Below are 22,524 nucleotides of genomic sequence, written 5' to 3' on the forward strand. Positions count from 1 at the left end.
GGACATCTCAGTAAGAGGGGATTGGAAAGAAATTTATAAGAATTGAGCTTGTGTTTTGTGGTTTGGGGAGCGTTTTAAAGAGGTGGAGCTTTGCTCTGGATCAAATGCTGTCAGGAAGCAGGGGGTAATTCTTAAAATTAGATATCTAATAACTCTTATCTAGAAGGAGGGCAGACTAGTCTGAGGCTTAAGTTGTGATTGCTAAAGAGGCAGCAGTCACTACTCTTAGGCAAGACAGAGGATGTTTGGTTATTTTGTGGTTTGGACCACATTCGGGTTGTAGTGGATTGTTGAGACATGATTACAGAGGGTTACAGTGTTTTCGTCTTGCTACATCAACATCACAACACGGCGTTGTCTAATGTTCATGTTCTGTGAAATTGCTTATATTTGACAGGAGAATGCCAAGTCCTATCTGTAAGAACCAGGCCAACTCCTCATGTCAGTGACTGCTTTTCTCTTTCTCTTTTTCACCAAGATAATGGCATCCAGTGGGTACCTTGTCTAGACAACCTCCAGCCACTCACTCCTCTGTACTATATAATTTTGCCCTTTTTTTTGACATTTCTAGAGAAATACTAGATTACCGGGTAAACTCTAACATTCAACCTCAAATTGAGACATTGTTTATAGATTGATAAATGGTATGCATTTTATCTTATAAGTGAAGCAATGAACCACAATATTAGCACTTTGTTTGCTTTCTTTCATGACTCTAGGAATCTTTTGATAAAGCAATATTTGCAATTCATATAGCTAACAAAGTGTTTCTATGCAGAATATAAAAACTCTTATAAAAGTGTTTAAAGATTATTAAGTTAAAAAATGCATACGAGACAAGAAAAAAGCAGAAAGTTGGTTTGTGGGCATAAATTTGGAAGAAGTAAAATTAGTTTTATGATTAGAATATATCCATCTATGTCACAGAGCTACACTCTTGTCTTTCCTGAGTGATACTTTAGTATTTGCCTCTGTGGCTTTCATTTTTCCAGGTTCTGCTGGCCAAAAGAATCCCCCTTCTGGTTGCAACTTCTATGTTAGCTTATAAATAGCTTGTATGTTAGCTAAGTTATGTCCTGAGAACCATTATTTATCCTAAAGCTTAACGTTTTTCATACCTCGGCTCCAATCTACCATGAGTTGCATTTATTTAATTATTTTATTTTATTTATTTTTGAGTTGGAGTCTTGCTCTGATGCCCGGGCTGAAGTGCAGTGGAGTGATCTTGGCTTACTGCAACCTCTGCCTCCTGGGTTCAAGCAATTCTCCAGTCTCAGCCTCCTGAGTAGCTGGGATTACACATGTGTGCCACCATGCCCAGCTAATTTTTGTATTTTTAGTAGAGACAGGGTTTCTCCATGTTGGCCAGGCTGGTCTTGAACTCCTGACCTCAGGTGATCCACCCGCCTCGGCCTCCCAAAGTGCTAGGATTACAGGTGTGAGCCACTGTATCCGGCCGCTAGTTGCATTTATAAGCCTACTGTTCAGGATAAGTTTTATGTCCAAGCTATAGTATTTAGACTAACAGGGAAGGAGGTGTAGGAGAGGAAAAACTTTTACTCTCTCTCTCTCTTTTTTTTTTTTTTTTTTGAGATGGAGCCTTGCTCTGTTGCCCAGGCTGGAGTGCAGTGGCAAGATCTCCGCTCACTGCAAGCTCTGCCTCCCGAGTTCACGCCATTCTCCTGCCTCAGCCTCCCGAGTAGCTGAGACTACCGGCGCCCGCCACCACGCCTGGCTAAATTTTTTTTTATTTTTTAGTAGAGACGGGGTTTCACCATGTTAGCCAGGATGGTCTCGATCTCCTGACCTTGTGATCTGCCTGCCTTGGCCTCCCAAAGTGCTGGGACTACAGGCATCAGCCACCGTGCCCAGCCTTTTACTCTCTTAATTATGTACTTGGGGCCTGTAATTTAAGTTGATAAAAGACATACAATTAACAGGAGAAAAAGCACACAAATTTTATTAATATTTTTACATGCATCGTAGCATCAAAGATAAGAAGTGAAAACCCAAAGATGTAGTTAAATGAAGGAGCTTATATATCATTTTAACAAAGGGCAATAAATTGTGGAGAGGTGATAGTCAAAGGAAAGGGACTTGGGCTCCTAAGGGCAGTAAATTATGGGAAGGTGACTATGAAATGTATGGTAGCTAAGAATTGTGCAGTAAGGTTTGTTAGGCAGATTCATTTTGGTGCCATCTCAGATCTTCCTGGTAGAGGAGAAGGGAACACCTTTATAAAGGAAAATGTATGTCATCTTTCCAAAAGGAAATTTATTCTCTGCTTTTAGGTAAAAAGGGGAAAAGCAGAGAGCTCTTCCTGTGTCTACTGTTTCTCAATTGCCTTCAGTGCAAAATAAACGTGGCATATTTTGGAGTGGCATATCCTAATCCTTTCCAGGGGTGATCGATAACTCACATTTTATCTATTGGGCTATCACAGTTTTATGTCAAAAAATGAAGGACAATGAGGTGATCTTTTTCTTCTAGAAAATCTTCAAAGCCCATTCATTTACAGGGATACAACTAGTGTTACTGGTAGAGGGTCTTGACTGCAAGTTGTCCAGGTTCTTGGCGTTTTGAACAAAGAATTGGACAAAATACACAGCAAAGCAAGGAAAGAATGAAGCAACAAAAGCAGAGATTTATTCAAAGTGAAATTACACTCCACCATGTGAGAGTGGGCAGAGCAGCAGCTCAAGGGCCCCAGATACAGAATCTTCTCAGGTCCAAATACCCTCTTGAGGTTTTCCATTGGCCACTTGGTGTTCACCTCACGTAAAGGAAGTGGTGGCCCACAATCAGTCTGATTGGTTGTGGAAAGCAACCAATCAGAAGCTGAAGTGAAGTTACAAAGGTCACACGCCTATGCAAACATCTGATTGGTTGCAGAAAGCAACCAATCAGAGGCTAAGATGAAGTTACAAAGTTGCACTTCTATGCAAACGAAGACTTGGCCTGCAGAATTTCCAGACTGCAGCAACCAATCAGAGACTGAAGTGAAATTACAAAGTTACACTCCAATGCAAACATCTGATTGGTTGCAGAAAACAATCAATCAGAGGTACTTTCAATTTCCCATATGCCACACAGAAAAGGTGGGGGTTTGCAAAGGGAGTAGCCTCTGGTCCTTTTGTTACTTAGGCATGGAAAATTAGGGTTTTCCTTTCAATTTAGTTCTAAGAAGTCAGTGTGAAACGGCCTTAGGTTCCCTGCCTCCAGACCCTATTCTCCTGCCTCATCTCCCCTCTGAGAAACGTGATCCCCATAAGTCTTTATGTGAGACAGAGGGACTGATGGTTTTTCTTCCGTAACTTCTTTATGCTGACTTGGGGCATAATCACTACCGGTTGGAGATCACGGAACTCTCACCCTACTCTGTCTAGTGGAGACCGGGTGACTTCTTGATGGCCAGGGGTGGTGTCTTCACCTGGAACTGGCTGGAAACCCTGTCACATGATCATCTGAAGCTTGATGGTCTCTGTGCAACAGGAAATGAATTTGGTTAAAAGATTTAATGGGAACTTTGGGGGTGGATACCTATGCCGTCAGGAATGTTTGTTATAGAAATGTATTAAAACATTCTGCTTAATTACTACAAAGGAAGTGATTCCATCCATTTGGAAGAAGGCAATGAAACTGCAAAAATAAAACATTTTTAAAAATGGCACTATTATCCAGCCTATAGTAACTATGCAACAAAGACACCAAGGAAAATTGGTAGGCATTTACTTTTCTTTTGACTGTCTTCTAAACAGGTACTTCATGAAGTCTTCCACAGGTTCACAGGTGTAGAGGCAGATGGCAACTTCGGGTTCCTGGTCCAGGGCTTCTGGTATCACTCTCTTGATCCTTGAAAGATGTATCCAGCTATCTAATCCTAGTACTTTCACTGCAGAAGGCATGGCCAGTGCCACTGAAAACAGTCCCTTCCGTTTGGGTTGTAATTGTTGAGCAGGTGATCCCTCTTTCCATGTTTTAAGAAGTACCTTATTTCCTGACCTGATTTTAAGTTGCTGATTGTTCCCAGTGTGGGGAGACTTTGCATTCCAAACGTTTGTAAAGCCTGTTGAAACTGTCCTAGATTGACTAGGTATTTTACTAAACCAACTGTTTCTGGATCAGTAATTAAATCATTAGTTAAGAATGGCCTTCCACATAATATTTCATATGGGTTTATATTAATTTTTGCTGTAGGGGTATTATGGGTCCTTAAGAGGGCTATGGGCAGTAAGCTGACCCAAGTTTCTGATGTTTCCTTACATAGCTTAGCTAACACTCGTTTTAAAGTTTGGTTAGCCCTTTCTACTTTCCCCAAGGATCGAGGCCTTCATGCTGAATGTAGATAGTACTTGATTCCAGGAGACTTAGCAACCCCTTGAGTTAGCTGGGAGATAAAGGACGGGCCATTATCAATTTGGAGGCTCTGAGGTAACCCAAACCCGGGGATTATTTCTTTTAAGAGAACCTTTATAGCCTCATTAACCTTCTCTGTTCTGGTAGGATAAACTTCGACCCAACCAGTAAAGATATCTATTAGTACTAACAAAAACTCATGTCCTCTGCAAGCTGGCATATGGGTGAAGTCTAATTGCCAGTCTCCCCCTGGATAAGTTCCTCTCCTCTGCACTGGTTCTATTAGAGGAGGCATGTTGTTTCCTAGGTTGTTAAGTGCACACAGGGAGCAGGCCTAGCAAACCTGCTTAGCCACTGAAGCTAAGTTAGACCCAGTAAAGAGCTGGTTTAAATGGCCAGAGTTGCATCCCTCCCCACATGGAAAGAGGCATGCACGGCTTTTATAACTTTCCACTGGGCTGTCTGAGGGAGATATGTTTTTGACCCCATATGCCACCAGGATCCTTTTTTTGTGTCCCCCTTGTTCCTCTATTAACTGTTCTTTCTGTACTGTGTACTCAGGTTCTGTTGGGAAATCATAGAAAGGAAGTAGGGCTAGGGTCTGTTGGGATGGCACCCTGAGGGATGCGGCTTTGGTTCTTTATCAGCCTTTCTGTTCCCTTGTGCTATAGGGGTTAAGTCCCTTTGATACCCCAACAATTAATTAGAGCTACGGCCTTTGGCAAGTGTATTGCTTCCAATAGCTGAAGAATTTCAGGCCCAGGCTTTATAGAGGACTGTTTTCTAGTTAGAAATCCCTTTTCTTTCCAGACTGTAGCATGAACATGAACCACAAGGAATGCATATTTAGAATCGATATAGATGTTAAGCTTTTTTCCTTGTACCAACATTAATGCTCAAGTAAGAGCAATGATTTCAGCCTTTTGTGCTGATGTGCCAAGGAGCAGTGGCTGGGCTTCGATAATTACTACTGCATATCCAGCTCAGTGCTGTGTCAAACCCCATTTGACACAAAACTACTGCCATCTGTGAACCACTCATCCTCAGAATCTGGGAGAGGCTTGTCTTTTAAAGCAGGCTGGCTAACATTGTGTATGTGCAATGACCTGCTTGCAGGAATGATCAGTTATTGGGCCTGTGGGCAGCACTGAAGCTGGATTCAAAGTGTTGCAGGTTTTAAGGGTTACATCTGGATTGTCTAGGAACATGGCCTGGTATTTGGTTCATCTTTCCCCTGTCATCCAGATGTGTCCCTTTATCTCTAAGACAGACTTAACCTGATGAGGGGGTGAGAACTTCCAGTGGTTGGCTCAGAGCGATTTCAGTGGCTTCCTCCACTAACATAGCAGTGGCTGCTGTTGGCCGCAGGCAACTTGGTCACCTCGAGGCCACTCCATCCAACTTCTTTGGAAAGTCAGTGGTTAGTCTGGGTTCTGATCCTAATGTCTGGGCTAGTACACCCACAGCTATGCCCTTCTTCTCTGCTACGTACAAAGAGAAGGGCTTAGGTAGGTCTGGGATGCCAAGAGCGAGAGCCTGTTTTAACTTGGCAAAGGCTTTTCTCAATTCTGGGGTTCATTCCTTTAGCTCGTCTTCAGGCCCCTTTGTTGCTTCATATAGGGGCTTTGCTATGAGTCTGAAATTTGGTACCCATATTCTGCAAAACCTGGCCATTCCCAAAAAAGAACAAAGCTGCTACTAGGTGTGGCAGGTGGGGGGGTTGGGGAGGGGGCAGGGGGCAAACCACCTATGGCTTGCTCTCGTTCTGGGGATATTTGTCAGGCTCTGGGTGTTAAGACATACCCTAAATATTGCACCCATTGGAGGATAATCTGTGCCTTCTTGTCGGACACTTTGTATCCCCTGTCTGCCAGGAAATTCAAAGTTTTTATAGTAGTTTGGTCAGAAACCTCCTGGGTTTGGGCTACACACAAGAAAGTCATCCACATACTGGAGTATATTCCCATTTTTCACTTTCAGATCCTTCAGATCCCTCTCTAAGGCTCGGGCAATCCAATGGGGGCTATCCTGAATGCCCTAAGGGTGCACTGTCCAGGTATATTACTGTTTTTCCCTCATATTGATTTTCCCATTCAAAGGCAAAAAGGTATTGGGACTCTGGGGCCAGAGGGATGGAGAAGAAAGCATCTTTTAGGTCCAGGACTGAGAACCATTTTGCATCCCCTTGTACCTGAGCCATAAGGGTATATGGATCTGCCACCAGTGGGTGGACGGGGATAACAGCCTCATTAATTATTCTCAGGTCCTATACTAACCGGTATTCTCCAGTCCTATACTAACTGGTATTCCCCCAAAGGCTTTAGAACAGGTATTGCAAGGGGAATTACAGGATTTTAAGAGCCCATGTAATAAGTAATACCTCAATTATGGGTGCTAGGCCTTTTCTTGCTTCCTGCTTAATTGGATATTATTTTCAATTGGGAAACTAGCTGAGGTCTTTAAAATGTATTTTGACTGGCACTGCTGTTTTAGCCTTCCCTGGTTTTCCAGTATACCAATGCCAGCGGGTTAACCTATTTATTAATGTGGTCTGGAACACTGTATTTTTGACTATCAGCAATTTCAATGGGTGATGCTTAAATTGTAGTAGTGCCTCCATTTTAACCATAATATCTCTTCCCAACAGGGGGATTGGGCAGCTTGGTACTACTAGGAAATCCTGTTGGAAGAGTTGTTTCTCAAATTGACAAATCAAAGGAGGAGTAATGAATCTTGTTTGTCAACCCCATCAAAAAGTAGGCAAAGGATATGAACAGACACTTCTCAAAAGAAGACATTTATGCAGCCAACAAACATATGAAAAAATGCTCATCACTTGTTGTTAGAGAAATGCAAATCAAAATCACAGTGAGATACCATCTCACACCAGTTAGAATGGTGATCATTAAAAAGTCAGGAAACAGGCTGGTGAGGCTGTGGAGAAGTAGGAACATTTTTACACTGTTGGTGGGAGTGTAAATTAGTTCAACCATTGTGGAAGACAGTGTGGTGATTCCTCAGGGATCTAGAACCAGAAATACCATTTGACCCAGCAATCCCATTACTGGATATATACCCAAAGGATTATAAATCATTCTATTATAAAGATACATGCACATGTATGTTTACTGCAACACTATTTACCATGGCAAAGACTTGGAACCAACCCAAATGCCCATCAGTGATAGACGGGATAAAGAAAATATGGCACATATACACCATGGAATACTACGCAACCATAAAAAAGAATGAGTTCATGTCCTTTGCAGGAACATGGATGAAGCTGGAAACCATCATTCTCAGCAAACTAACACAGGAACAGAAAACCAAACACCGCATGTTCTCACTAATAAGTGGGAGGTGAACAATGAGAACACATGGACACAGGGAGGGGAACATCACACACCAAGGCCTGTTGGGGGGTTGGGGGCAAGGGGAGGAAGAGCATTAGGACAAATACCTAATCCATGTGGGACTTAAAACCTAGATGATGGGTCGATAGGTGCAGCAAACCACCATGGCACATGTATACCTATGTAACAAACCTGCACATTCTGCATATGTATCCCAGAACTTAAAGTAAAATAAAATAAAATAAAATAAAATAAAAACTCGTTTGTGGCTTCCATTCTATTCCCATAACACTTGTGGACTGGGAGGAACGCCTTACTGCATAAGCAGTAAGAACAGAGTAATTTGCTCCTGCATCAAAAAGAAACTGAATTTGGGTGCCCATGACGTCCAGAGTTACCTGGGGCTCCTCAGTAGTAATTACAATGTTCCTGAACAGGGGCAGTGAGGAAGACCTCAGGCCCCTTCAGTCTTCATCTAATTCCTCCTTTTGCACTGCTAGAGTTTTGACTGACTGAGCCCCTCAGTGGGAACATGGGCAGTCAATTCTCCAGTGCCAGGGGTCATGACTGGTGCCCTTGCATTGACGGCAGGGGCCTGGCGGGGACTTAGCACAATCCTTTGCCCAATGTCTTCTTTTCTTGCATTTGAAGCAAGAGCCTTTGCTGGCATTATCTTTATGGCCCTTCGGGTTTCCCTTAGACACTCTTTGTACATTCAGGGCATCGTCAATGATGGCTGCCATACTTTTGGCTTGCCATTTTGTTTACTCTGTTCCCTTTTTCCTTCCTTCAGGTCACGATTGTTATACACCATAAATGTGATATAAGTAAGCTGATTTTGATTAGTTTGTGGCCCCATCTGTAGCTTTTGGAGCTTATCTCTAATGTCTGGGGCAGATTGGCTAATGAAATGCTGTGCTATTAATATTTTGCCTTCGGGAGAGGAAGGGTCCAGATTAGTATATTTTTTAAAGTCTCCCTCCAGCCTGCCATAAAACATGGCTGGATTTTCCTCCTTGCCTTGTGTAACCTCCCTTACTTTATCATAATTTACTGCCTTTAGTTATTCCCTTTCTCATTCCTCCAAGGAGAGCCTCAAGAAATTTAGCCCGGTTGTTCATTTCCTCAGGAGTGTTATAGTCCCAATTATGATCAATAGTGGGAACTGTGTCTGGGCCGGGATGATTGCCCTGAGAGTTTTGGGCAAATAATTCATTGCTTGCAGGTGGGCGGCCTCAGAGATTCATTCCTTTTCTGAGGGTGTGTAACAGGTTGCTAGAATGAATTGAACATCTCTCCATGATAGATCAGAGGCTAAGGTCAAACGCTGGAACCCATCTGCAAGTTTCTTAGGATTCTCAGAATAGTTTCCTAGCTTTTCCTTATATTGTATGTATAAATTATAGAGAAGGGGGCCTGCACTAGGACTGGCCCCTTGGTTCCTGCTACTTCCCTAAGAGGTAGCAGGGCTGGAGAGAGAATTGAATATGGCATTCCTCTCCAAGTGTGAGGGGGATTTAGTAGGGTCCCTGGTGTTTGCTCCTGGGTTTTAGCCTCAGGAGCACTTGGCAAGGGGCTTTATGGGGATGGTTGCTGTTCACCCTGAGAGACAGCTAGCCCTTGTAAAAGAGGGTCATCTATAATATCTAGTTCTGCCTTAGTACTTTCCTTTGGGGGGTGGGTTCTGGGAGTTTCACAGATTGTTAGGTTTTTGATATTTTGATAAAAGCCTGTACATATGGGACTTCTGACCATCTTCCCAGCCTCTTGCAAAGTAGGTCTAATTGCAGGATGGTGTCATAATTAAGGCTACCACTGACTGCCCATTGCTGGGGGCTGGGCAGCTCATAATGGGGCCAAACAGTATTACAGAAAAAAATTATACATTTTCCCTTTAGAGTGTCAGGGTCAAATTGATTCCAATGGTGGATGATGTAGCCAAGTGAGGAATCCGGTGGAACAGGTGTAGAATTGCCCATAGTGGAATCAGGTCGAATAGATAGAGAGTTGCCCATAGTGGTCTGGAACAGAGAAGAGGACTTTGAAAAGTAGAGGGCCCATTAGGTGACCCAAACTTTACCCAGGGCATCCCCCTGAAAAAATTCTGAACCCAGACTGGGGTCCCCAGGGGCGTCCCTACTTTAGGGCCCTGATTTAGTCTGTCAGATGTCTCTGACCTTAGATGGGGGCTGGCACTGCTTTGGGATGGTTCCCTCCACTATCGGGGGAAATTCAGCCCCTGATATTTCACGTGGGTCCTTTTCTATTTTCCCTAAGTGTTGGCTGGTCTGAGAAATAAAGGGAAAGAGTACAAAGAGAGAAATTTTAAAGCTGGGTGTCCAGGGGAGACATCATATGTCGGCAGGTTCTGTGATGCCCCCTAAGCCGTAAAACCAGCAAGTTTTTATTAGTGATTTCCAAAAGGGGAGGGAGTGTATGAATAGGGTGTGGGTCACAGAGATCACATGCTTCACAAGGTAATAAAATATCACAAGGCAAATGGAGGCAGGGTGAGATCACGGGACCACATGACCAGGGCGAAATTAAAATTGCGAGTGAAGTTTCGGGCACGCATTGTCATTGATAACATCTTATCAGGAGACAGGGTTTGAGAGCAGACAACCAGTCTGACCAAAATTTATTAGGTGGGAATTTCCTCGTCCTAATAAGCCTGGGAGCACTATGGGAGTCCGGGGCTTATTTCTTCCCTTATCTACGACCATAAAAGACAGCCGTCCCCAGAGTGGCCATTTTGGAGGACTACCCCTAGGCACACATTCTCTGTCTCAGGGCTGTTCCTTGCTGAGAAAAAGAATTCAGCGATATTTCTCCTATTTGCTTTAGAAAGAAGAGAAATATGGCTCTGTTCTGCCCGGCCCATAGGCAGCCAGACGTTAAGATTATCTCCCTTGTTCCTTGAACGTTGCTGTTATCCTGTTCTTAAGGTGCCCAGATTTGATACTGTTCAAACACACATGCTCTACAAACAATTTGTGCAGTTAACACAATCATCACAGGGTCCTGAGGCGACTTACATCCTCCTCAGCTTACGAAGATGACGGGATTAAGAGATTAAAGTAAAGACAGGCATAGGAAATCACAAGAGTATTGATTGGGGAAGTGATAAATGTCCATAAAATCTTCACAATTTATGTTCAGAGATTGCAGTAAAGACAGGCGTAAGAAATTATAAAAGTGTTAATTTGGGGAACTAATAAATGTCCATGAAATCTTCACAGTTTATGTTCTTCTGCCATGGCTTCAGCCAGTCCCTTCATTCAGGGTCCCTGACTTCCCACAACACTCCACCACTGAGGACCTACTATGAACTTTCCTTAAGGTTTTTCTATCCCACTTAAAGCAACCCTTTAACCCTTTAAATTTAGGCAATAAATTGCCTTTCATGAATTTTCCCCCCACCCCATGCCCCACACAGACCACCTCCGACATGCTCAGACCCTCTGACTTGTATAACCTTTTTTGCATAGTCTGTCCTTTAGCCAGATGAGTAGGGGAAGGGAAGAACTTAGCATAAGAAAAGGTTTAAGTCTCCTGAAAAGTGTGTGAGTTCGCCCAGGATGAGCTTCCGCTGCCAACCGCATCACATGTAGGGATCAGGGACTATAGCTGGAAAGGATAGAAAAGAGTCCTTCCCTCTTCAAGGCAGGGCAGCCATCCCTGTTCACTCCTTGGCCTTCAGACAGCACTGGAGAGTGGTCCCAGCCAGTTCCCCTCAATTGCCAAGGAGCTACTAGAAAACAGCCACTGAAAGACTGGAAAAGAAAAAAAGGGAAATAACTCAGAAAAAGGAAAAAAGGAATAGGACTCAGAAAAACAAAAACAAGGAAAAGGACTCAGGTCCCTCACCCAAACCCAGTGGTGTTACTCAGACGCTTCCACATGGAAGCCTTTCAGTTTCACCAGAGAGAGGCTCTGGCCAGAAACTTGCAGTTGTCACTATGCTTAGGCACTGTTCACCAAGAGTCCCGAGTTGGAAAGGAAAAGAAAGAGAGAAAGATTCCCCTGTATGTAGCAGAGAGGAAAAGAAGAAAGGAGAAAAATAAATCCCATACTTTGGGCTTCCTCCTACCTGGCTCGCCAAACCCGTAGAGGGTCTTGAGTGCAAGTTGTCCAGATTCTTGGGGTTTTGAACAAAGAATTGAACAAAACGCACTGCAAAGCAAGGAAAGCAGAGATTTATTGAAAGTGAAAGTACACTTCACAGTGTGGGAGTGAGCCCAAGCAGTAGCTCAAGAACCCCGGATACAGAATCTTCTCAGGTCCAAATACCCTCTAGAGGTTTCCCATTGGCCACCTACTTGGTGTTTGCCTCATGTAAATGAAGTGGTGGCCCGCAATCAGAGGCTAAAGTGAAGTTACAAAGTTGCACTTCCATGCAAATGAAGATTCAGCCCACAATCAGTCTGATTGGTTGCGGACAGCAAGTTGTCCAGGTTCTTGGCGTTTTGAACAAATAATTGGACAAAACGCACAGTAAAGCTAGGAAAGAATGAAGCAAGGAAAGCAGAGATTTATTGAAAGTGAAAGTACACTTCACAGTGTGGGAGCAGGCTGAGCAGCAGCTCAAGGGCCCCAGATACAGAATCTTCTCGGGTCCAAATACCCTCTAGATGTTTCCCATTGGCCACTTACTTGGTGCTCACCCCATGTAAATGAAGTGGTGGCCTGCAATCAGAGGCTAAAGTGAAGTTACAAAGTTGCACTTCTATTCAAACGAAGCCTTGGCCCACAATCAGTCTGATTGGTTGGGGACAGCAACCAATCAGAGGCTGAAGTGAAGTTACAAAGTTACACTCTATGCAAACATCTGATTAGTTGCAGAAAGCAACCAATCAGAGGCACTTTCAATTTTCCAGCTGCGGCACAGAAAAGGTGGGGGTTTGCAAAGGGAGTGGCCTCTGGGCCTTTTGTTACTTAGGAGTGGAAAGTTAGGGTTTTCCTTTCCAAATGGCTCTAGGAAGTCAGTGTGAAACGGCCTTAGGTTCCCTGCTCGCAGACCCTGTTCTCCTGCCTAACTACTAGAGTACAGTGTGCACTTCCTAAAAACGGAAGCACTTTTGCTAATAATTTTAACTTGACACAAAAGTAGGGTGATCAGATAAAATACCCTTATGTCCCATGTAATAGTTGGAATGTACTTATACTAAAAAATTATTCATTGATCATCTGAAATTAAAATTTACCTGGGTATACTGTACTTTTATTTGCTATATCCGACAATCTTATACAGAAGTCGTCATGGGAAACTCAGAAAAGGCTGTCCAAATTATTCTGGCAGAGAGGAGTGGAAGAAACAAATGCCATTTAGGTTGGGTGCAGTGGCTCACACCTGTAATCCCAGCACTTTGGGAAGGCAAGGTGGATCACGGGGTCAGGAGATGGAGACCACCCTGGCCAATATGGTGAAACCCCATCTCTACTAAAAATACAAAAATTAGCTGGGCGGGGTGGTGCGTGCCTGTAACCCCAGCTACTGGAGAGGCTGAGGCAGGAGAATTGCTTGAACCAGGGAGTCAGAGGTTGCAGTGAGCCAAGATGGCGCCACTGCACTCCAGCTTGGTGACAGAGTGAGATTCTGTTTCAAAAACAAAAGAAAAAGAAAAAAAGACACAAATGCTGTTAAAAAAAATTTAAAAGACAAAAACAAAAAACTGTGGGGCCCGGCGTGGTGGCTCACGCGTGTAATCTCGGCACTGGGGGAGACCAAGGCAGGCGGATCACCTGAGTTCAGGAGTTCGAGAACAGCCTAGCCTGGCCAACATGGTGAAACCCCATCTCTACTAAACATACAAAAATTAGCTGGGCGTGGTGGCTGGCACCTGTAATCCCAGTTACTTGGGAGGCTGAGGCACAAGAATCGCTTGAACCTGGAAGGCGGAGGTTGCAGTGAGCTGAGATCCTGCCACTGCACTCCAGCCTAGGCAACAGCGAGACTCTGTTGCATTTAAAAAAAAATTGTGGTAAAATATACATAATAGAAAACTTACCGTCTAACCATTTTTAAGTGTACACTTCTGTGACATTAGCATATTTGCATTGTTGTGCAGTCATCACCATTCATCCCAACTTTTTCACCAACCCATACTGAAACCGTATGCCATTAAACAGTAAATCCCCATCCCTCCTTCTGCAGACTCTCTCTACAACCACTGCTCTACTTTCTGTCTCTATGAATATGACAGCACCATAGTATTGGCGGTAAATCAGAGTTGGCAAATGCAATCTGAAGCAGAGGAGAGGAGAGAGTCATATCCCTCAAGTTTTACAGTCCCATTAAAAGTATTAGTACTTTGAGAAAAGGACCGTCACGATCATGGGGAGAATGAAGGAAAAACTCCATTTCTTTCCAGTTTGCAACTGGAATTGTCACTTTCGTCTTTCGGCACGACAGCGCCCAGGCCACAAAAGCCCACAGGGCAGGGCCTCCATTTTGTGGCCTGCGTGGAGGGCGGGGCGGTCTCTCTCCGCCACGCCCCAGCACCGGGTAGACACCGCAGCCACGTAACCAAGGAACCCCGAATGAGGCGTTGGCCAGGTGAGGCCGGATCCGGAAGTAGGGGGACCACTTCGCCCCGCGTACGAGCCCCGCCCCCGGCCCCTCCCACCAGACCCAGGCCGACCTAGATGACGTGTCCGAGTAGGAGTTGGCGAGGTGCGGCCGGGCGGCCGGCCCTGCGCATGCGTGATACTTGCACCGGTCGAGATGGTAGCATGAGTCTGGAGGTCATTTTCTTTGAGAAAGGCTCCGCTTCTCCGGGTTTTTGCTGATGCCGATCCCGGGGGATTGAGGAAACATTGAGCTCTGGAGTGGAAAAGGTTGCAGACTTTTAGACTCCCAAGTCGTTGTAGTCTCAATCTCTAGTGGCTGCGTTACTGCAGGAAGTCACGGAAGCCTCTCCCCTTTCTTAGGCGCATCCTTGGCTGTAAAAGGAGGTTAAAAGCCCCTGGAAAACCTCAGGTTTATTTCAGCTCTGAAAGTCCGGTTCCAAATTTAGATCCAGCACTCTTGTGGCCTGGCCAGTGATGGTCGTGGAGTGCTTTCCCCGCGCCTGCGGTCTCTAGGCTCTGTGGATGTAGAGGTGTGGGATGTAGGAGCAGGCCCTTACCCGTGGAATTCACATATAAATGGGGGAATGAGACAGCAAACAAACAAACGTGATCCTTCCTGATAGTGGTAAATGTGGGATGCCGAGGTTTAAGCAGACGAGTGGTATTAAGGGATTTCAAGGTTTTATAAAATTGATTTTGCCAAGAGTGGAAGCTGAGAGGCTACTGCAGTAAGAAGTCCAGGGGAACTAAGAATTTGGCTTGGACCAGAGTGGTAGCTGTGGGCATGGAAAGTACTGAAAGGATTTAGCCCATAGTTTAGCAGCCCAACCAACGGGACCTGCTGAAGGACTGGAGGTAGGTAGTGAGGAAATGAGAAATTTAGGTTCTTCTCCAGGGTTGGGGCCTGAAAAGAGATGGGCAGCGATGCCGTTTCCTGGAAAACTGGGAGAGGAAATGTTTGGGATGAGGGCAGTGAGATATAATGAAGGTCAAGTTTTTTTTTTGTTTTTTTTTTTTTTTTTTTGAGACGGAGTCGTGCTCAGTCGCCCAGGCTGGAGTGCAGTGGCGCGATCTCGGCTTACCGCAAGCTCCGCCTCCCGGGTTCACGCCATTCTCCTGCCTCAGCCTCCCAAGTAGCTGGGACTACAGGAGCCCGCCACCACGCTCGGCTAATTTTTTTGTATTTTTAGTAGAGACGGGGTTTCACCGTGTTAGCCAGGATGGTCTCGATCTTCTGACCTCGTGATCCGCCCATCTCGGCCTCCCAAAGTGCTGGGATTACAGGCGTGAGCCACCGCGCCGGCCGAAGGTCAAGTTTCAGTGGTGCTAGGAAAAGAAGATAGTGAGCAAAAATGTTAATTTTTGTTTCCTCCTCTTAATATTTGGAGAAAACGTCTGCTTCCTTTTGTTATATTGGAAATCTCCATGACTTCCAAATACAGAATATTTTACAATTTTTCCCTATCCCAAAGTTCAGCGAATATGTTGATTTATTTGAGGGAGAGGACATGAAAGGGAAGCCACCTAGGCACAATTTTCTGCTCAGGCCCTACCAGATTAGTTTTTGTTATCAAAAAAAAAAAAAAAAGTGCCATTCCTTGGGCCAAGCTATGTGCTCAGCACTTTCCCTCCATTTTTGATTTAATCTTCACAACAACCTTAAGATGAACGTTCTTTTCTACTTCCCAGTTCTCTTGATTAACTTGGCTACCCCACTATATGGATCAATTTGCAGGGTCCTAGGTCCCTTTGAAAATCTGATGAAAGTTATAAACCTTACCTGGGAAAAAAGTACAAACACCCGCAAGAACTTGAAATAGGAGTTCACTGGCCCTCAACTTTCTGAGCTTACTATTTCACAAACCTGCCTATTCTTGAATTCTGAGCTGGAGGTCATGATTCTCTCTTATGTACTTTAAGATGATGCACTCTTCCGAAGTTTTTGATTGAACTCTAGTGGCTAACTGAATTGACTTTTTCAGATCACTAAAAAGCTTCTCCTTGAAAAATACTCAGAAGATGCAACACACACACACACACACGTGTGTGCACTTACACACGCGGACACCGTCTCACATCATCAGTGGGAAAAGTGATAGAATCTTGCTAAAGGCTGATCATACCATATTAATCCGATTCGCCAGAACTACTTTCTTCACTGAGCTCTCAGGTATGCTCGGGTCTTCCTTTAAAGAAAATAAATGTCAACGCTACACTCTATCCTACTCCCATTTTCCTCCTCACCCCATTTCCACTCTCCCTTAAAGAGATGTGTGCACACAATCACTGCCCAATGCAAGAATGCACCACTGCATCCAATGCTTGGAAATTGTCCGTGAAGATGCCTTTGAGTAGCTGTCTATTTGAGGATTTGTGGCTAATTCCTCCCCATTTGTTTCCTTAGCCTGCTCCCAACCAGGTGTCTCCAGAACTTTTTCTCTCCGCCACCAACTCCGCCTCCAGACAGACCGCAGGTGCTTTCTGTCATAGGGACTGGCGTGCCGCGGACAGTGTGACAAAGAAACTGTATGATGGATATGAGAACTTCGTAAGACCCAGCAGCAAACGGGGAGCGGCTGGCGAGCGCTCCACAGCCCCCAAGCGTGGGAGCTCTAGATCGGAATTTGTAATTTGGAATTGGAACGTGAGCGCCGGAACAGCTCTCCCAGCAACCACCTCTCCCAGCAACCACCTCAGCTGGCGCGCGGAAAACCCGGAAAGTGGATTTCGCCCCCGCTCCCTCCCGGAAACTCCTCCTGGTGCCTGCGACCGTTCTCACTGAGCATGTGCAGACGGCGGTGCGCATGCTCTGTTGCGGTCCGCTTCGGTTTCTGTTGCGGGACCCGGGGTGTCTCCTAGCGCAACCGGAACTAGCCTTCTGGGGGCCGGCTTCCTTTATCTCTGGCGGCCTTGTAGTCGTCTCCGAGACTCCCCACCCCTCCTTCCCTCTTGACCCCCTAGGTTTGATTGCCCTTTCCCCGAAACAACTATCATGAGCGCGAGGCTGCCGGTGTTGTCTCCACCTCGGTGGCCGCGGCTGTTGCTGCTGTCGCTGCTCCTGCTGGGGGCGGTTCCTGGCCCGCGCCGGAGCGGCGCTTTCTACCTGCCCGGCCTGGCGCCCGTCAACTTCTGCGACGAAGAAAAAAAGAGCGACGAGTGCAAGGTGGGTGAGGCCTGACGAGCCCTCTGATGCACTGTTGGAAGGGGAAGTCGTCCCTATCCGGGGGAGCTGATCCTCGGGTGGGAGCGAGGGAAGGGGGCGTAGCAGCGGGTGGGGTTGAGTTTCCCCAGAAGCTTTTGGGGTCTGCTGGGCTGTGGGTGGGGGGCTCTGAAACAGCCCTTGCAAGGGTAGTTTCTGGAGGACGCAGTGGGCCTCAGACTCGCCTCCCGTCTTGCGGGCCAAGTGGCACGAGCAGCTGTATTCAGTTTTCCTGGAACAGGGACCGTGTGGAGCGCCCTTGGAGTTGGGCTTCACGCCTCAGAGCTTTGGAGTTGGATGTATGCAGGTCCACGCGTGAGTGTTCGCTCACAGCCCTGTAACATGTACGCTGAGGAAGCGGGTGACCGACTCCCTACATGTGAGCAACACTCAGCCTAGTTAACAGTTTCCATTAGCTTTTAACTTCATTGCTTCCTGTTTAATTGCATTTTCCTGGAACCTTCTAGTTGGTTAGGAGAGCTTGTTCTTTCTAGGACTTTGATATCTCGCTTCACAATTAGAAGTTGGTTCCTTATTTGTGGAGTATAACACCCAGAGCCACACAAAGTGCATTAATAAAGAGTTGCTGTAATGGTTGAGGCACTTGATTTCTGAGTTTTAAGTGTAAAAGATTTTAATACACAAAAAAAGATACGAGGTCTCACTATTTTCTCTGAGATGGTTTTAAACACTTAAAAGGGGCAAATGGTGGGAGAAACTGGTGTTTTCCTAGGGCAAGTCTTGAAAACTTTGATCTCTTACAACATTCACACTCAAGGTTTTCAGTTTAATTGCTAGTAAAAGAGGCGTAAATAAAGTAACCTGCTTTTAGGTTATATGGTGTAGGGCTTTACAGTATACATACACAATTATTTCGTTAAGTTTATTTAAAACTTAACATTTGGGGGATGAGGATCTCTTTGAAACCTTTAATGATTTCAACAATTCAAATAATCGTTCAACAAACGTTTACAATCTATAAATAGGCTTATTTATTAAGTTTGATTTTTTTAAGCTGGTGTTTATTACAGTTAGCTTTACTATAGCTGTGAATTTTGAGGTTATTTTAGGGCATTAGATAAGCTTTAAATTTTTCATAACATTTTGCAGTTTCTTTTTAGGTTGTCAGCTATCTTGAATGACATGTTTATACATCTGTGCAAAACCTTGTATCTGAAAAAATATCTAAGGATATTTAAGGTTTACTCAAGTCTGCAGTTAGTGTTTCAGTACTTAAGTTCATACTCTGCAGTGCAAGAAGCTTTCACTCCTTTTTGAGGATTCTGACTGAAAGACTGTTGTTGTGCTTCCAAGTGGAAGATCTAGACTTGCAAGTACACTGGTTTTTCCATTAAATATTTTAGTAACCAACCTTTAAGGCCTAGTGTTTGGTCTTACTTTAACAGCAGTTGTATATTCTATTCCTAGTGCCTCAAAGATGAAAAATATATTTCCTGCCCTCTGGGAACCTCAAAGTAAGGGACATAAGCTTATGAACAGATTATTGAAATCTGATCTGTTACACAGGATGATGTCCAAAGTGTGCTAAAACAAAATGAGGAAACATCAGTGGACTAGAGTCTTTAGGGAAAGCTCTATAGAAGAAGTGACAGGGCCAGGTGTGGTGGCTCACGCCTGTAATCCCAACACATTGGGAGGCCGAGGCGGGTGGATCACCTGAAGTCAGGAGTTTAAGACCAGCCTGGCCAATATGGTGAAACCGCGTCTCTACTAAAAATACAAAAATTAGCTGGGCGTGGTGGCGGGCATCTGTAATCCCAGCTACTCGGGAGGCTGAGGCAGGAAGAATCGCTTGAACTCTGGAGGTGGAGGTTGCAGTGAGCTGAGATCGCGCCATTGCACTCCAGCCTGGGCAACAGAGCGAGACTTTGTCTCAAAAAAAAAAAAAAAAAAAAAAAGAAGAAGAAGTGACATTTGAGATGGACTTAGAAAATGAATAAGTGAAACTTATAGGTGGTCTTCCAGTTAGATGATTGTTTTCTCAACAGGTCCTTTGGTAAGTGGCTAGGTTGTATTCTAGTTATTTTTTAGTTAATCTTGGGAGTCATTTTGGATGTTTAATTTTCATAGGTATAGGGATAAAACAGGCAGAGCAGATCATTTTTCCGAAATGTTTGGATTTTTATCTTTATTGCCAGCTACACTCACATCTGGTTAATGGAAACAACTCTTAGAAGAGCAGGAGGGTGTACTTTCAGCTTTTTTCCTGCGATATGACTAACTGGTGTAGAGAATTTGAAATACACTTTAATATTTATTTTCTTTGCCTTTCAAAGAAGATGCTATAAATAACAGTAAACAGTTGAAATTTGTATTACTTCAATCAGGATGTTAATAATTTATTCTCATCTATTTCGTATTTGTTAAGGAGGACAGTCTTGTACACATTATTCAGAAAAGTGGAAGGAACTTCTTTTAAAAATTAGAAATGAGAGTTGTGAAATGGAAATAATTTTTTCCAAAAGATGCTGTTAAGTTAGTGAATCTGAAGTTGGAGAAATTGGGCAGGTCATTGATACTGTTACCAACAGTTTTTCCATCTGTAAAATAGGGATAATCATATTTGATTATGACATATTCCCCTTGAAAGGTATTTTGCATTTCTTAGAGGAAAAGTGCAATATTTGTCATTGTTGTGATAGTGTAGAGATGAAACAAATATATCTTCAACTTATATATAATTTAGGTAGTAGAGTGTTTTTATGTACTGTAAAGTTTGTCTCATGCATTTAGCTCAGGATGTAAATTGAGAGAGAATCAGAAGAATGCTGAGGATTTAGTAATTTTCTCTCTTTAAAAATTATCTTATGTTGAATTTACTGGCAGAGAAACAGGAGTCCAGTGAATATAAAATTCTATTTATATTGCTGTAACTTCTGATTAATTTTCTTAGCCTTCATAGATACTGTGAGTATGTTTTCATGGCCTCCTTTTTTTAACTTATTTTACATGTGCGTGCATTTGGATATTGAGGAGGTGCACATTCTTATTGCTTTTTATAGCCGATACTATTTCATTCTGTTCCTGTACAATCTGTGGTTTGCCTGACCATTCTTACTTGTAGGGCCTTTAGATTGGGCCCAATTTTTCTCTATTATGAATAGCTTTGCTACAGTGTATTTAGCAGTAATTATTTGCATATCCCCAAATATAAAATTCTAGGTAAAGACAAGAAGAAGTTTTTAGTTCTGTTTAGTATTGCCAGATTTCTTTCAACAATGATAGGTTTGATTTCCTTTAACTAAATAATACCTTGTGTTGCCACATCATTTTAATTTTTATTTATCAATTTAATAGTGATGTGATGGTCCCTAAGACTTTTTTTTTTTTTTTTTGAGACGGAGTTTTGCTCTTATCACCCAGGCCGGAGTGCAGTGGCACGATCTTGGCTCACTGTAACCTCCACCTCCTGAGTTTAAGCAATTATCCTGCCTCAGCCCCCTGAGTAGCTGGGATTACAGGCGCCTGCCACCATGCCCGGCTAATTTTTGTATTTTTAGTAGAGATGGGGTTTCACCACGTTGGCCAGGCTTGTCTCGAACTCCTGAGCTCTCAGGTGATTCACCCACTTCAGCCTCCCAAAGTGTTGGGATTGTAGGCGTGAGCCACCACGCCCAGCCTGTACACTTTTTAAATGTTTTACTTTCATTGCTATTGAAATTTCTGTGTCTTTTAATATTTTTCTTTTATTTGCCTTATTTTGTTACGTTTTGAAACCATAGTAATAAAAGATTGAGCTATGGTATTCCTTTCCTGTAGAATTCACTTTACTTTCTTAAAATCAAGGGACACTGTGTGACTGAAATAAGTAGAATAAAGCCCTGATTATAAGTGACTAGATATTCCAGGATAAAATCCACAGTTCTAATTTAGTTTGTAAAAGTTTTGACTATTTCAGTTAGCTTTGTGCTTTTTAGCTTTAAATCAAATCTTAGTGTGCCGAGTGGCATTCTGATGGCTAAGAGGTGAAGATTAGTGAGCAGTTCACCTTTGCTGCTTTCAACTTTCAAGTAATTACTGGGTTGTCAACCAGAATTCAGAACTAAGAACTAAAAATAGTATTAATTCTCCAAAATGTCTGCCACTTTTTTACTGTTTGATGGATAGATCACGTTCTTAGATGAAAGATTAAGATTTTTTTTCCTTTGCTGTAAGGAAAAATGACCAATTATACCCCCTAGTGGTTAAAAACAATGTTTAAATGAATTAGTTTAACAACTTTTTAATAAAAAGGAAAATTACTCAGTCATACTTTCCTTTCTTGGTAGTTATTTTTAGAAGCATTTTATAAGTTGTGTTTGTTATTCTGGGAGCAGTTGTGTATAAATATTGGAATGAGTCAGCTTTAAGAAAATAGTCCTGAATGTTGATCTGAACGGACACAGAATGAATATATATGTACCTGTTTTAATTTGACCATAGAAGTAGTTTGAAGATTTTGAAATACTTAAAGAAAAAAAATCTGTATGTGTATTTATTGGTATAGTGATAAATATTTATCGATATGTAGTTTCACATTCTCACAGTTCTCTCTGGAATAAGAGCATTGATTCTTAGCTTCTGGGAACTCATTAGTGTTTGGGTGTTGCTCTTTCAAATCTGAAATCTGGCACTGGAAGGACTTACTTTGACTATGGTAAATATACATTCCAGCAATTGTTTCTTCTTCTTCTGAAAAGGTATGTTAAACTGAGATAGTTTGCCTTTCAGAAATTAGATTTTTAAGTAAAATTAAGACTGTAATTGTTCATTATAGTGAATCTGAGAGTTAGAATCAAGAAAGCAACAAAAGTCTATGAATAAAATTGTGTCTTTCTGCCTGTGGCCCCTCACCAAAGTGGGTGTAAACTTGAACTTCCAAAGGTGTAAACTGGAACGTCTGAAACAAATCACAGATATATGTTCCACACCTCACACCCCCAACACAAACACACAGACACACATCGGCACTACAGAGATTGGTCTGTGCACTGTCAGCCTTAGAGCCCAGCTGCCCAAACCCTTACTTCCCTATTCTCTCCTGTA

The 22,524-nt window shown here is 43.4% G+C and overlaps 1 protein-coding gene and 2 long non-coding RNA genes across 3 annotated transcripts in view, besides 8 other annotated features; 1 reads left to right on the forward strand and 2 right to left on the reverse strand.

Moving 5' to 3' along the window:
* Positions 156-356: a silencer, noted in NCBI's record as "peak2103 fragment used in MPRA reporter construct". NCBI's record gives its function as "represses an SCP1 promoter by STARR-seq MPRAs in K562 erythroleukemia cells {active_cell/tissue: K562}" and the evidence as "EXISTENCE:reporter gene assay evidence [ECO:0000049][PMID:32103011]".
* On the reverse strand, positions 2,627-14,971 carry LINC01232 (long intergenic non-protein coding RNA 1232). The gene is made up of 5 exons (NR_110731.1): positions 14,351-14,971; positions 12,914-13,001; positions 12,040-12,209; positions 11,800-11,882; positions 2,627-3,481 (listed from the first exon to the last, which is right to left on the reverse strand). It is a non-coding gene; the product is annotated as a long intergenic non-protein coding RNA 1232 (long non-coding RNA).
* Positions 10,990-11,504: an enhancer, noted in NCBI's record as "OCT4-NANOG hESC enhancer chr13:100147579-100148093 (GRCh37/hg19 assembly coordinates)". NCBI's record gives its function as "activates a minimal SCP1, AML or CMV promoter by ChIP-STARR-seq in primed H9 embryonic stem cells {active_cell/tissue: H9 hESC(primed)}" and the evidence as "EXISTENCE:reporter gene assay evidence [ECO:0000049][PMID:30033119]".
* Positions 12,124-12,253: an enhancer, noted in NCBI's record as "active region_7948". NCBI's record gives its function as "activates an Ori minimal core promoter by ATAC-STARR-seq in GM12878 lymphoblastoid cells {active_cell/tissue: GM12878}" and the evidence as "EXISTENCE:reporter gene assay evidence [ECO:0000049][PMID:35858748]".
* Positions 14,225-14,434: an enhancer, noted in NCBI's record as "active region_7949". NCBI's record gives its function as "activates an Ori minimal core promoter by ATAC-STARR-seq in GM12878 lymphoblastoid cells {active_cell/tissue: GM12878}" and the evidence as "EXISTENCE:reporter gene assay evidence [ECO:0000049][PMID:35858748]".
* Positions 14,445-14,564: an enhancer, noted in NCBI's record as "active region_7950". NCBI's record gives its function as "activates an Ori minimal core promoter by ATAC-STARR-seq in GM12878 lymphoblastoid cells {active_cell/tissue: GM12878}" and the evidence as "EXISTENCE:reporter gene assay evidence [ECO:0000049][PMID:35858748]".
* Positions 14,972-15,387: 416 nt separating the features above from the next.
* Positions 15,388-16,728, reverse strand: LINC00449 (long intergenic non-protein coding RNA 449). Its single transcript, NR_133664.1, has 2 exons — positions 16,060-16,728; positions 15,388-15,605 (listed from the first exon to the last, which is right to left on the reverse strand). It is a non-coding gene; the product is annotated as a long intergenic non-protein coding RNA 449 (long non-coding RNA).
* Positions 16,843-17,022: an enhancer, noted in NCBI's record as "active region_7951". NCBI's record gives its function as "activates an Ori minimal core promoter by ATAC-STARR-seq in GM12878 lymphoblastoid cells {active_cell/tissue: GM12878}" and the evidence as "EXISTENCE:reporter gene assay evidence [ECO:0000049][PMID:35858748]".
* Positions 16,843-17,517: a biological region, named in NCBI's record as "H3K27ac hESC enhancer GRCh37_chr13:100153518-100154106".
* Positions 16,929-17,517: an enhancer, noted in NCBI's record as "H3K27ac hESC enhancer chr13:100153518-100154106 (GRCh37/hg19 assembly coordinates)". NCBI's record gives its function as "activates a minimal SCP1, AML or CMV promoter by ChIP-STARR-seq in naive H9 embryonic stem cells {active_cell/tissue: H9 hESC(naive)}" and the evidence as "EXISTENCE:reporter gene assay evidence [ECO:0000049][PMID:30033119]".
* Positions 17,137-22,524, forward strand: part of TM9SF2 (transmembrane 9 superfamily member 2) — a 62,577-nt gene continuing 57,189 nt past the window's right edge. Inside the window, exon 1 of the mRNA NM_004800.3 lies at positions 17,137-17,442. Within this exon, the coding sequence (NP_004791.1) occupies positions 17,272-17,442 (171 nt within the window). The 5' untranslated portion in view covers positions 17,137-17,271. The remainder of the gene's footprint in view (positions 17,443-22,524) is intronic.

The sequence above is a fragment of the Homo sapiens genome, chromosome 13 (genome assembly GCF_000001405.40).
Source record: "Homo sapiens chromosome 13, GRCh38.p14 Primary Assembly".
Lineage (NCBI taxonomy): Eukaryota > Metazoa > Chordata > Mammalia > Primates > Hominidae > Homo > Homo sapiens.